Consider the following 15,363-nt stretch of genomic DNA (forward strand, 5'->3'; position numbering starts at 1 on the left):
GTCGCACTTTGCCTCTCAGAATCTTGTCAATCCAATGAAGATGTGGAGGAAAACGCTATTTAATGAACTTAAAACCTAAATTCAAACTCAACCTTAGCTAAAAAGTCTTTAAAACACTTTATATACATTTATTCATTAATAAATGTATACAATTTAATTAGATGCCAGTCTCCTAAAGTTTTCTTAGGAGGAGGGTGATTTGATATCATTTTTAATAACTCTCTATGAATTACACAGATTCTCTACCTAAGGAGCACTAAATTATTTCCCACATTCAAAACTATTTGACTACTGTAGCTGTGGGTATACTGATTTTTAGAAGGGTTTAAGATGTCAGGCATAACATTCACCAATTACGAATTTAGCCTTCCTAATCAGTTTTTTCTACTTCAGCTTTTCTCCTCTGTCAATTCTCCATGCAGCAGCCTCGTCCCTCCTCCTTCTACCCCCAACCCCTGGCCACCTCCCCTGCCCCATGAGTCTTTGAAATCCAAAGCCAATCCAATACCCATGTCTTCCTACGGCTTCACATTTCGTAGAAAAACCCAAATCCTAAAATACTCTGCATGGCCTCCCATGACTTGACACCTTTCCCCATCTCTCTCTCTCTCTCTCTCTCACACACACACACACACACACACACACACTTCTCAGAGCTTCTAACTACTGACTCCTTACCAGCCACCCTAGTCTCTTGCTATTTTTTGTACATGTCATGAACACTACAAGTTTGTTCCATTTTTTGGAGCATTTTTTGAATCTGGAGAACTCCATGGTTCACTCTCACTTCCTTCACATCTCCTCTCAAAACATCGTCTTATCAAGGAGATCTTCCCAAATCTTCCCTCACCCTACCCACACGAATTCTTATTACCATGCTTTGTTTTTCCCCAAAAGACTTAACACTATCTAACATATGACTCTACATTAAATTGCTCATTTGTTTTTTATCTGTCTTGTCCCTAAGAATATGATCTCCTTGAGGACAGAGACTGGTTTTGTTTACTAGATATCTCTAGCACCTGGCTCACAGTAGGCATTCAACAGATATTTGCTGAATGAATAATTAATGAACAAATCCAAAAAGAACTGTACAATGTATGAATTGTGTAGTGAGATACATGCAATAATTGTTTTTATTCTTTGGTGATGTATACATCCCCAGAATGATTTTTACATAATTTGAATACAGTAAATTGTTACTTTGTCATTTTCTGCAGGGGAAAGAATGTTGTTTTAGATTCTAACTGTGCCACATTTTATCAGTGGGACAATACTTACCTTTTTCATCTTTTTGATATTGTTTTCTTGACTGTAATTTGAGGATAATAGCACCTATCCCTATCTCGCAGATTTTAATGAGGAGAAAACACTTAGAAGATACTAATTTAGAGTTATATAGAAATATTAGGCTAATATACAGCTGTGCATCATTGAGAGCATTTATGCTCCTCACAAAACGGAATTTCAGCCCACTTGTATTATATCAAAATAGCACCAACTCCACACCACTTCCCAAAACTGGCACAAATGGAATTTCTCCAGTTATGCTTCCTTTTCATTCAGTTCTTGGAGCAATGTGAGATAAATTGCCTTTGTCCTAACCCGAATGTGTGAATTACCAACTAGCATTATTTATTCATACCAATGCTTCCCTTCATTGACACTGAATAATTGAGAGTTGATTGTGTTTAGGAAGATCAACAATCCCATGGTTCAGTTCACTTTTGAGAGCAGAGAACTCACCAACCTTCAAAAGAATTAATGTATTTCAAAAAACACAATGTTTAAGTGCCCAATTTTTAGCTACACTAAAAATTGGTAATTATATTAATGAAAAATACAGATTAAAAATTAAGAACTGGTAGAATTATAAGTAATAATGTGGTAAGTATATGTACAGTTGTTTATTTTGTTTTAACTATTACATATAAACATTTATTAAATATAAATAAAAACATTTTTAGTAGCTATTATGGTCAGGTTTTTTAATTTTTTTGTTTGTTAGTAAACAAAAAAAAAAGTCATTGAAGCTATTGGACTACATTAGCATCACATCAACTTCTCCTAACTTTCAGGAGTTAGGAAAAGGTAGCAATTATAGTCTTAACAATTCACTTTAGAATCAAATAATTAATCATTCATTGCCCATGGCACTAATAAGTCATTAGTCTTGTGGAGGCTCATTATGAAGAGAAATATGTAGACGGGTTCATTTAGGTAATCCTTTCTGAATGTTGATGAAGTTATTTGTAGATGATACTTGCATGTTAGGATCAATTATAACAAATTAGTGAGGGATTTTTTCTCCTTTTTCATAAAGGCAGGGAAGATAGAGTCTGTCTAAACTAACTAAGAATTATAGTTTTAGGATGCCTTTGAGGTTTCTTTTTTCTTTTTTTTTTTTTTTGGAGACAGATTCTTGCTCTGTCTCCCAGGCTGCAGTGGTGCTATCTCAGCTCACTGCAACCTCCAGCTCCTGGGATCAAGACATTCCTGTGCCTCGGCCTCCTTAGTAGGGGGGATTAGAGGCATGCACCACCATGCTGAGCTAATTTTTTCTATTTTTAGTAGAGACAGGTTTTCGCTATGTTGGCCAGGCTGGTCTTGAACTCCTGGCCTCAAGTGATTCACCCACTGCCTCAGTCTACCAAAGTGCTGGGATTACAGGAGTGAGCCCCCGCACCTGTCCTTCTTCAAGGTTTCTTCACATGTGAAGTGAATAATGAATGGAGCAATTTTTTGATGAAACACAATTTTTATATCTTAATCTATTGACCTGATCAGCTCATAAAATTCTAATAACTGCACAAACGTGCTGAAGCAGGTTTCGACATATGTACCTGAAGCATGTTTTCAGACATGTACATTTGGAGGCTTTTAACCTTAAAAGACTTTGAAGTCAACAAATACACGTAATCAATGTTGACATTTTATCATTATTTTTCTTCTCACAAGGAAATAATGTGTTTTTGATTTATCTAAATTCATTTAACTTTTTAATTCTCTATCCCACTTATGATACAGATTTAGGTTGTATCTATGTGAAAATTAAAATTTTTACATTTTTACACATTTAGATACTCTATTTTGGAAAACAAATTATTGGACTGATTTATTTCACTAAAGTGATCCTCCAGTTACATTTCTTGGAACTGACTAGTTGTTTTGGTTTAGAAGGATACATTTAAGTAGGTGAGTACTATATAAAGATATGAAAAAACCTTGTTATATTTTAAATAGTTACAATAGTTGAGAGTTTGGTTTGTTGATTTCGTTTTTTGTTTGTTTTTTACTTTTTTTTACTTTTCTAATTGTCAAATTTTTGTTTTTTGCACATGTAAGTATAACAGAATGTGTCATTCTGGTAAAATTCACATTTAATATGAAAACATTTATTTTAAGAAACCAACAAAGCCACTTAAAATATCCATCCAAAGGTCCTACAAATTAAAACTACTCTATAGTTCAGGAATTGTTTTGAAGACAATTTGATTTAAACCATGCCACTACTCTAGCAAAACACACAGGCTAACATTTAATGTGTTATTATTAACAATTTAAACCCACTAATGAGCACTTAAGTGTGAATTCATTAATAATAATGTCCTAAACTTTGCCCTTAGATGCTCACATGTAGTTTCCATTGAGGTCAATGGGATATATACTAGAAGGACTAAGCAATTGATATACTGATTTATTTTTTATCTATCACCTACTAATGCTTACAAGGTATAAGTTCCTGGAAAAGATGTGGCAAATCTGAATTATATAAGTTAAATCTGATTTTCACATTCAAAAACTGAGGTGATTAAAAATTTTGCTCATGACCAGTGACCTGCCCATATTCTTACCTGTCCACACCAAAAACTCAAAAGACAGTTACAATGCTTTGTAACTATCAAAAATATTTTTCTAAAAAAACTGTCAAAAATACAGGAAATCAGTTGTGAGGCAGAAGTCATCGTTCAGGTTTCTCGAAAACAGTATATAAATTGCAAATGTCTGCATACAAACACCCCACAAATACACGTCACACTAAGCCCAGGGAATTCATATCCAGATCCTTATGGTTTAAACCAAATATTATAGTAGTCAATTCTAATTTATATCCCTATCTAATATAAGTATTTATAAAATGTGTTTAAATAGGACATTTCAGTACACAATCATGTGAAGTTTTTTGGTTTGTTTGTTTTTTTACTGATTTTTAAAGTAGTATACTTTTATAGCAGTGGTCCCCAACCTTTTTGGCACTAGGGACTGGTTTTATGGAAGACAATTTTTCCATGGACAGGAGCTGGTGGGGAATGGTTTCAGGATGAAATTGTTCCACCTCAGATCATCAGGCATTAGTTAGATTCTCATAAGAAGCATGCAACCTAGATCCCTCTCACCTGTAGTTCACTATAGGGTTCATGCTCCTCTAAGAATCTAATGTGGCCTGGTTCCTAACAGGTCACAGACCTGTCCTGGTCTGTGGCCCAAGGATTGGGGACCCCTGTTTTATAGCAACAAATTAGATAGTGATTGTGTAGTACCGTAAATGAGTTATTAAGTTAGGAATTTCATTCCTACTTAAAATGCATTCTTATTTTGTTGCATTTTTTAAACTTTTTCTTTCTTTGTAATATTATTTAATAAGATGAAGGTCCTCCAGCTTATACTTTGCATTTTTTTCACACCCAAAATGACAGATATAAATTGCTCTCACTCTTCCCATTGGGTTAACCACCCTCCAGCCCAGTTGACCTATTCATCTTCCCTATACTTGCTCCTGCTTTCCTGCTTCTGCCACTTCCTCTTCTGCTTTTCTCACCTTCACTGTCACCTCACATCAAAGTATTCCTTCATGGCTCAGTGGAAACACATATATTTTGTGAAGCCCTCCCTGATCTCTCCATCTGGAAGGGAATATTCCTGTCTCATGAGTTTTTATTGCTGTATCGGGCAGAAAAACAGAATCCACACCAGTTGTATTACAAGAGATAATTTATATTAGAAATTGTTTAAATACATGTGAAAAGGTTAAAGGGAAAGAGGAGAACCCTAAGGTTATGAAGAAATAGTAGTTGCAAGAAGATATCACCTCTAGGACTGGGAGAACAGAAAGAAAAGATTGGGAGTATTAGAACCTACAATCTCTGAAGAAGGTTCCCGTGGAGCTGAGACCCACACCTTTGGAGGGATATGTTCCCCTGTTAATGCCTCAGGAACTCAGAGACTCCTACAGAGTTGGGACTCACCACCCCAAAAAAGAGGCATCCCAGCTGGCTGGGGCTTGTTTCCACCTCTGGGATTGAGAGAAAAATGAACTATGGAGCTAATAGATGCTGTGAAGGTGACAAGCATGTGGTGATGCCGAGGTGAGGTTGATAGGAGCAGGAAGCCAAACGTTGAAATGGCAGATCCTTTCCCTTTCCTTCAGCCAAGTCCTCTCTTCATGAGATAAAACTAATCAAGAGTCAGAAGAAGAAGAAAGAGAAGGAGAAGGAGAAGGTCTGATAGCACAAAACAAAGTATAGGAGGGTAGATTTGACCCATGAGAGAATATGTAACCAGCACCTTAGCATTTTAATTATACCTCTTCTCAGCACTTTCTTTCTTCTGATGTAGTCTTCTGTATTATATTATCTCCCATCAGTCTCTAAGATCCTTGAAAATAATATCTTGGTAGGATTCATATTTTGATCTTCCAAATTTCAAGTAATACTGTTTAATAAGGGAATATATGAATTCCACCAAATTAAAGACTTTTCCTTTTCAATTACAAGTACTGAATGTTTTATTATAAAATAAGAGCATTAGAAAATTAGTTTTATTCTTTTATTCGGCACTGCAAATAATTTTCCTGGGATTTTATTATGTTTATTACAATACACGTATCCAAACAAATACACGCCAAGAGAGTGTCCTTTTTAAAATGTATCTTTTATTATCTGTCCATATAATTACATGTATCCGTCCATATAATTATACAGATATTGCTTCAATTTCTTGAAAGATTGTTGTTTCTTAGTCCAGTCTTACTTTTTTCTCCCTTTTCCAATAAAAGAAAGTGACAGCAGAATCAGAAAGACACCCTGATGGCTTTCTAAATCCGAATGAACTGAAGAAAGAGGCTTCATAGGCTAGGACATGAAAAATCTGGGGTTCACAATGAAGATCTTTATGTTACTCACATCCAGAAATGACTTACTGGCAAAAGTCTGTGTATTTACTGCCGGACTCTCCAAGTGCTGAAAGTGGATCATATGGGGTTGGATTGGCCAAACTCCGTTAATAAAAATTTCCTGAATTTAATTTGATAGAAAACGGGAAATCTACTGTTGACCCAGGATTGAATATCTACATATATGAAAATACAAATACATAAACTCATGCAGGCTTTTGTATTATACTTCTGAGCTTTTTAATAGAGGGAACATGTTTTAATGCATAGAAATGTTTTACGATGAAATCTTTCTGTAACAATTAATGTGAACAGGCTCTAGAGAAGTGTTGTGTAAAACTACATAAAATGGTGGACATCCTGAAGTTGTTCTGAAAAGAATTCAGCATTAAAATATATTGTCAAAATTTTATTTTCTCCAAAGGAAACTATTTGATCCAGTAAAATAATTTTATGTTCAGCATGTCAAGTTCTACTTTACAAAATAATGGTAAACTAGGAATTGATTATTCATTTTACAAATTATTGACTATGCAATTACTTTTATTAAAGTAACCTCATTGTACATTTAAAAAGCAATTCCATTTACCAAAATTGGATTTGCACACAATTTTATAGTTAGTGATTTTTTTCTGTGAATTTATCTGTGTTGAGGGACAATCATAGTTAAAACTGATGAGAGTCAGACTTTGTTAATGATATAGTCAGTATCATTTTTAGATAAAATGAGTAGTATTTTATTCTTAGTATATTGTTGAGTCAGAATCTTATATTCTATGACTATTTCTGTAACTGTTGTTCACAAAAACTATACATAGCTAAAGTTCAAGTAATAATTAATATCAGTAAACTGTGAGATGTCAAAAAGTGATTAGTATTCGATTGCTACAATAAGGAGTGCAACATAATGGTGAAAAAGTATAGGATTTAGGTTAAAATGCAATCTTTTTCACTTACAAGCCATGTGACCTTAGAGAAATTAATTGATCTGAACCTCTCAGTGTACAAAGTAAGGAAACTAATATCCATCTCTTAAATTTGTTATGCAGATTAAAAATATTAGTAGACCAACTGCTTAGCACATTACTTCAATAAAGGGGAGCTATTTTGAATTTTACCACTACTGCCAAATTTAACCATTTGTTTTCATCTATCTTCATTTTATAGGTATACATGCATAACTTATTAGGTTTTCATTTTAGGAGTGCACTTTGATATAAAACCTCCTAAATTTCATGCCAGTTGTCAATCTCCTACTATTCTCCTTACCTGAAAGCATGATGTGCTTGTCATGTAATACATCGTTTGAATTTTACACTGGCATGTACCAGATGTCTTCTTAGAACACATAAGCATGCATTTTCTTCTCTGCATTCCCTACAGTTACCCTTTCTGGGCCACAGTACTTTCAGATATTTGTTGATAATGTGTTCTTTGCGATCCTCATGGCCCAAGATTATACAGTTATTCATACCTGAAGAAAGAGTTGTTAAATAGGGATCTGTGGCCATATCTCTACACAAAGTGAACATCGGGTCTGGGGAATTAAAAAATGAACAGGAAAGCACACTTGTGGCATTGTACTAGACCCTTTACACATATTATCTTATGATCAGAATGTATTATTATTCTGCTATACATTTTTCTAAGGCAAATCTATTCTATTATTTCCATCCAGAGATGTTTTCCCAGTAAAGGAGATTTGACTGACTATATAGTGTTAAGTCACAATAATTTTTATAATGGAAATCTTTTTAAAAATTTGAGACATTGTGGTAAATATTCACAACTTAAACATAAAGTTACCTAAAAAATGAAGCAAATAGCTTAGGTATGAAACAAAAGATGTTAAATCAACAAGTTCTTGCAATTTCTCCCATGAATTATCTGGAAAATTATGATGATTCTTCATTTGGTAGATTTTTCCTAAAATTATCAGTACACTAAATCATCAGCTAGAATGAGATTCAAGAATAAAGTTAGGTGTACAGTTTATATTCATTTATTTTATAAACACGTTGATATGAAGTTAAAAAGCAATGTTAGAACGAATCTAAATTTCATTATAGCTGCTCTATAGGTGAGAAATGTGGAATATAAGCTAAAGAAATAGCAATTGAAGAACTGAAACAATAGTTTGTTTCAACATGATCACTTTTTGCCATAGGTTTACCAAAATGTCCTCACTTTAATACCCGGAACTTGTGGTTATATTGGATATGTCCTTTACATGACAAAAGGGACTTTGCCGACGTGAAAAAGATTAGGGAGCTTAAATTAGGGATGTTATCATGATTTATACAGGTAGACCCAATATAATCACATGAGCTTTCAAAAGCAGAGACCTTTCTATGAAGAAGAGAGGAAACAGAGAGAAAGTATGTCAGATTTGAAGCATACGGAGGCCTAGACATGTTGTTGCTGGTTTGCAAATGGAGGGGCAATGTGATACAGAATATGGTGGCCTTGGCAGTACGTGGTGGTTCCCGCCTGTAATTTCAGCACTTTGGGGGCCAAGGCAGGAAGATCACTTCGGATCAGGAGTTCGAGATCAGACTAGTCAACGTGGTGAAAACCCTTCTCTACTAACAATACAAAAAACAACAACAAAAACTTAGCCAGGCCTGGTGGTGGATACCTGTAATCATAGCTACTTGGAGGCTGAGGTAGGAGAATCGCTTGAACCCACGAGACTGAGGCTGAGGTTGCAGTGAGCTGAGATCACACCACTGCACTCCAGCCTGGATGACTGAGTGAGACTTTTCTCAAAAAACAAAAACAAAAACAAAACCTGCCTCTAAGTAGCTGAAGAGCAGCTGCCGGTAGCTGACAGCCAGCAAGGAAACAGGGACCTCATCTCTACCACAGTGAACTAAATTCTGCCCACAACCTGTCTGAGCTTGGGAGCAGATTCTTCTCTAGCATCACACCTCATAATTCCACAGAGTCCAGGCTAACACCTTGGTTTCAGCTTTATGAGAACAGGAGCAGAAGAACTATCTGATCCCACCTGTGCTTCTGACCTAGAGAACAGTGAGATAATAAATTGTCTTTTAAGCCACTGACTTTGTGATAATTTGTTATGTCAGCAGTAGAAAACTAATTATATATATTTCCCCAATTCTCTTTCATATGAAAGTGTTATTTCATTAATATAGCCACCATAATTTAATGGATATTTTCCAATAGGCAAAACTTTCAAAACAAAATGAAATCTATTTTTATGTACTTGGGGTTTTTACACTCGAGCCTGATCCATTTGCTTCATATTTATTTAACATAGTTCCTAAAATTCTTACGTGATTGAAGCTAATGTAATATTTATGCAATCAAAGTTAATATTAAGACATATAATGATTTTGTCAGGTAAGCCATGAATATAAATTACAAATTATCCTAATTATTAAATATCATAATATTTGCATGAAGAAAATATTTTTTCAAAAGTAATGATTGCTGTCATTAATTTGGTGAGTATACTTTCACAATGAATATATTAACAATAGTTCTTTATGATAAATAAGTAATACTAGCCATATAACACTGAGATAAAAATATTTACATCATGAAAGGAAAGCACTTGTTTACATGATATTGTCTACCATTTATGTGTAATATTTATGTATAAGTAGCAGTGGATAAGGTATTTAAAGAATATTGTAATTTCAGTAATTCTATTTGTGATAATCTATTTTTATGAAATACTCCTAAATATAAAAAAAGTTACACATAAGAAAAAATAAAAAAAGTTACACGTAAGAATACCTTTTACTTTGATATGTCGATATTCATTGACTTCTGCACAAAGTGAGAGAAAACTATCTCACTGTATCTATATGTATGAGAATAGAAGTCTTCATTTTAAAAATGTTTCCTGAATGGGATAGAGAGATAAAGAGAGTCCTTGACTTTGAGCAGGTTAGAGGAAATACACATGAGAAATGGTGAATAAAAGGAAAAGAAATAGCAATGGAAAGAAATAAAAAGAGTATATGAGCTCAGGGACGCTCCTGAAGAAGAATAGAGAATATATAATAGAGGCAAATGGATACACCTGAGTGAAGAAGTGTGATAGTAAGCAGATTATGAGACATGAGGCAAAAGTTGACAATAAGTTGCTAGTAAATGAAAGAAAAGATGAAATAGAGACAGACAGACGAGAGACACAAAGGTTTGCATGTGTGCATTAGCTAAGGTAATCCTAGCTGTTATTACAAATAATTTCCACATTTTTAATGGATGAACCCATTAGTTTCTTTAGACCTGATGTGTCAAGGTGAGTGGCTTTCTTCCATGTAGTGATTCAAGAACCCAGATCTCATTCATCTTGTGGTTCTACCAAACTCTGCATTGTCTCTAATGAGACAAAAGAGAATGGAGAAAGTATACTCACTTAGTAAGCAATCTGTACATATGCCCTTGGTGGAAAATAGTAACAGGACCAACCCTGGATGCAAGATAGAGTAGGAATTGTTGTCTGTAAAGTACACTTTAGAAAGAGAGTCATTAAAGGACAGTAGTTTTCTGCAGATTAAGCCCTGTTAAAATCATATTGCTGTACATGAAAGCAAAACCTATAGTCTTAGCACCACAGCATAAAAATACTATAAATGTAGTGAGAGGAAAATAAATATATTCTAATTTAAAATAACCTTAAAATGTATAATATTCAGTTTCAAGGAATCATAAAACCTAACAACTTTGTTTTCAGACTGCAATGTAAGATGTCCAATTTTTAAAAAAAAAATTATTTTAGGGTTATATTACAAATGTTTTTATTTTTCAAGTATGCCTCTCATTCCGAAAATGCATCTTTTACCTGTGTCAGATTTATTTTGTGAGCCTAATCAAATTTTATGGGATATTTTATTCTTCCTTGGGCCTTCAAATTTTAATGCATTATTTTTGATTAAATATTCAGTATATTTAAGTCTACATATTAAGTCACATTCAGCAAAGGTGTCGATAAACTTGAATTTTTAAATACAGTCAACTGTCATTTTGAGGTGTTCATTTCTCAGTCTCTAAATTGAGCGTAATAATATATGTCCCCTTACCTCATAGTGCTGTTGTGAGATTCAAATGAAGAAAATATAGGAAAGATATTAGAACATAAAAACTACTTTATAAATGTAACTATTTTTCTCTTTCAATATGTTCCATCTATAATATATATGTGAGTGTGTATATAGTTTGTATACATGCATACACATGTATAAACACACGTATACTTGAAGTGTACTTGTAGTGTTATAGCAAAACACAGAAAAATAATCTATTGGGTAGGTTGGGAGAAAACTCTGTGTTTTTGTACTGGGAGTTGTGACATTTCTGGATCCTGTATCATCAGCTATTCAGTTGCCTGAAGGCAAACTCTGCACCCAGTGATCTCTCAGGTTGCTGTCCAACTCTATTACTCTCTGAACAAATAAAGTCATAATGATATGGAATTGCATTTCACACACATTTGCAACAACTCACCCTTTCTAGTCTCAGCTTCCAATCTGACTTTTTGTGGCTTCAGCTCTGGGCCTCCCTTTATGGTTTTCTCCACCACTCTTCCTAATCACCCTCTCCTGTAACTCCATTTGTCCCTTTTGTCCTCATCCTGTTGGCAGGAAGTGAAATTATTTTCTGCTGCAGTCCTGTATGTTAGCTTTCATTTGAGCCTTTTAGAAAAGGTCTTGTGTAAGCACGATTCAAAAATCAAGGTAATCTACCCAGTTGGACACAAAGTACAGTATTAGAAAACAATGCACAAAGACTGACTTCTCAACCAAGGACTTATGGCGTGACCCTGAGTGAATGATTTAATCTCCTCAGGCTTTTGCTAAGGGAATTACTTTAGTTACTCCTTCCAAGATAGAGATATTTAAAGATCAATGGGATATGTAAAGTGGCCTTTGGAAGAAAGCAGAGGGGTAAACAAGACTTCTCACATCCTCTCTTTTCTTTTACAAATGAGCACTCTCTTGTGCTTTGTTATGATTACCATGTAAGTTGTTCACTTTCAAACACTGTTACAAATCCTCAGAAAAGTAATTGTTCAGCAAAAGTTATAATAACAATCCTGAGAATCATTCCTGATAGCCCAGAAAGTGTAAATAAAAGTCACGAATATTCAGATTCTTTATATTCTAAATCTCCAATTTGATAGAGCTACTTTATGACATTAGACAAATCATATCACTGCCAAGTCCTAGGTTCTATGTTTCTGAAATGTGGTAAATTTAGTGCTGGTTTCATGAATAATAAAGTGAATCTCTGTAAAGTGCTCACTTTATGGAAATACTAAATAATAAAGGGATTCCTTGCATTCTGTCAATTTTCAGTAATGCCTTTGCCTTCGTTACTTAGACATACCTGTCTTTTGATTCCTATTCTCAATTTGTAGTATTTTTTACTAGACTGGGCAATTGAAGCAACCAGAGATAGAAGACACAGAGCCCATGTAGGTGAACGATACAGATGAGGTGGGCAAGTGTTTCCAGTTAATCAAATTTTGCAGTTTTAAATATTTGTAGAAGGTTACCACCTGTTCTTAAAGTGAGCCCATCCCATTTCAGAGTGGTAAACCATTCTGTGATTGTGTTGTTTCCGCTATCCATGTTTAGACACTAACTTCATTTCCTAGAAGCTAAATGCTTTAACATTAACACTTAGTAGCCTAACTGTGCTAGTTTTCCCTCCACAAAAATAATTTTATGCAAAAATACATGGAAACAAAATTCTGCACGTGTTTTTAATAATAAAACAGATTTCCAGATAATTCAGAAAAAAAGTAATTTCATTAAAATAATAAACTTTAAAATACTAATATAATATTTTATATTTAGTAGTTTATATATATTTAGGTAGTTTTTTAAATGGACTAAGTCATCCATTTAGGTTTAATATAATTTTTTAGAGTTGACATGATTTTTATATCACAAGTTTAACATTTTGAAACAACTCAGTGAGAAGTGGAAAAAAATTGCTATTCTCGATAAGCCAAAAAAAAACATACACACACACACACGTACACACATATATGCACATATACACATATATAGTATGTATATACAATACATACATATTATATATTGTCCACATATATTTATACACAGATATACACACACACACACTCTGTGTGTGTGTGTGTGTGTGTGTGTGTGTGTGTGTGTGTGTGTATGTCTTTGGCCTATCAAGAATAACAATTTGTTATATATGTGTGTATATGTATTTTAAAATTTATTTATATATATATATTCAGCAACATATATATGGAGTAAAATGTAAAAAAGTATAGAATGTTCAAGAAAAAAATTGTTAAAAATCAATATTTTTTCACATATAAAAATTAGAGATTCAGCAATGTCTAAAAAGGTCAAAATTAGGCTGGGCATGGTGGCTCAGGCCTGTAATCCCAGCACTTTGGGAGGCCAAGTTGGGCAGATCACCTGAGATCAGGAGTTGGAGACCGGACTGTGCAACATGGTGAAACCCCATCTCTCCTAATATACAAAAATTAGTTGGGCGTGGTGGGATGTGCCTGTAATCTCAGCTACTCAGCAGGCTGAGGCAGAAGAATCGCCGGAACCCGGGAGGTGGAGGCTGCAGTGAGCCAAGATCACACCACTGCACTCCAGACTGGGCGACAGAGCAAGACTCCGTCAAAAAAAAAAGAAAAAAAGCCAAAATTGAGGAGAACAACTAAAGATGTATACTAAGAATAATAAGGTAAGGAGCTAAAGATAGGAGTAGAGTCTGATAGCAAAATAAAATGTAGGAGTAGAGTCTGATAGCAAAATAAATTGTATAACTATTACTTTGCTTTTAAAAGTTTTTGTTTCGATTCCATGCTAACTTTTAAAATATATTTTTAAAGGCTTTTTCTTTGATATTTAGTCTTCAGACAGTATTAATATGACTATAGCCATTATTTGTTTAAAATGTAATTTCATTTTCCATAATTACCATTGTAACTATTGTGCTTTTACCTTAGAGTCATCTTAATTCACAATAATGACAGAAAGATAATTGCTGAATTTTGAAAATTACTAAGTATCTGAACAAATATAATAAAGGTCATTGATATTTTAGCTCAGGATATACTTTATTCACTCATTTTGGCAATTTTAAGTTAGCTTTTAATTATTCTAACACTTGGATTAGTCAATACCCTAATGCACATTCTATGAAGCTTAAAATACTCACAAGAGATACTTTCTTGCCAACAAATTGTTTGGGTTAGCTAACTTAGGATACCAAACATCTCAAAGGAAAATTAATAAAATCTGCTTTCTTGGGAATGTGTTCAACGTCGGGATAGGAAAGATATTTTACACCACGTCTGGCTCTGAGGACCTCACACTCTTGTTTTACTTGGAACTCATATTTCCTTTTAATACTTATAGATCTCTATTTATTCCCAATTCAGACTTTGCATCTTTAGTCATTCTGAATTAGTGAGTTATTATTATGGTTTATCTTGAACTATATTTTAGCCTAAATAACTTCTGCCTCATGTTGGTTCCTGCCAGTGTTCCTATCATTGTTTTAGATAAAATAAAATAAATTCCCAGGCTCTGTGATGCCTACTAACTCTTTCCCCAAATGTTTGTTTGCTATTGTGTTCAAATTCAAGTTGCCAATCACTTGAACATTCTTAGATATTATAATTATAAACTATTCTTTGGAGAAGAGGCTTTAATGTTTGGAGCTGACAATGGAAATTGAGATGTTTACATTCTAAGCCTAAGTCATGAAGTATACCAGGGCATGCAACTTACCCGCTTTGAACCTCCCTAGTTATAAATAGTTCTGAATTCTTACCTTATTTTCTGGAAATGTTCTTAATTTATTTCAGAAAACCTACTTGTATTCAGAATGCTATGGCTGTGTAGTTTTAAATCAGCATAATAGAAGCTGGTGTAAGTGAAATAAATTCAAAATTCCTGCTTACAATTCTGAGGGCACAATTAAGTAGCTGGCAGGAAATCCCAGTCTTTTCCCCAGGTGGCCACAGACTTGGTGAATTCATGCCTTTGCAAGATTTGAACTGACTCACAAATCTCTCTATCCTTCATATAATTCTCCAACAATAACTTTATACAAGCTTTTGCTTGCTAAGGCAAGTGAACACAATGTGCCTAGCGTAAAGCCATTTATCCATTCAATAATCATTTACTAAATGAATTAATGGAAGAAGT

At 34.0% G+C, this 15,363-nt stretch overlaps 1 protein-coding gene across 2 annotated transcripts in view, besides 2 other annotated features; it reads left to right on the forward strand.

Moving 5' to 3' along the window:
• The window catches only part of KCND2 (potassium voltage-gated channel subfamily D member 2), a 477,430-nt gene that overhangs the window by 237,499 nt on the left and 224,568 nt on the right, over positions 1-15,363 (forward strand). The gene's annotated exons all lie outside the window — the stretch shown is intronic.
• Positions 11,235-12,046: an enhancer, noted in NCBI's record as "OCT4-NANOG-H3K27ac hESC enhancer chr7:120161695-120162506 (GRCh37/hg19 assembly coordinates)". NCBI's record gives its function as "activates a minimal SCP1, AML or CMV promoter by ChIP-STARR-seq in naive and primed H9 embryonic stem cells {active_cell/tissue: H9 hESC(naive and primed)}" and the evidence as "EXISTENCE:reporter gene assay evidence [ECO:0000049][PMID:30033119]".
• Positions 12,047-12,858: an enhancer, noted in NCBI's record as "OCT4-NANOG-H3K27ac hESC enhancer chr7:120162507-120163318 (GRCh37/hg19 assembly coordinates)". NCBI's record gives its function as "activates a minimal SCP1, AML or CMV promoter by ChIP-STARR-seq in naive and primed H9 embryonic stem cells {active_cell/tissue: H9 hESC(naive and primed)}" and the evidence as "EXISTENCE:reporter gene assay evidence [ECO:0000049][PMID:30033119]".

Source organism: Homo sapiens, chromosome 7 (genome assembly GCF_000001405.40).
Source record: "Homo sapiens chromosome 7, GRCh38.p14 Primary Assembly".
NCBI lineage: Eukaryota > Metazoa > Chordata > Mammalia > Primates > Hominidae > Homo > Homo sapiens.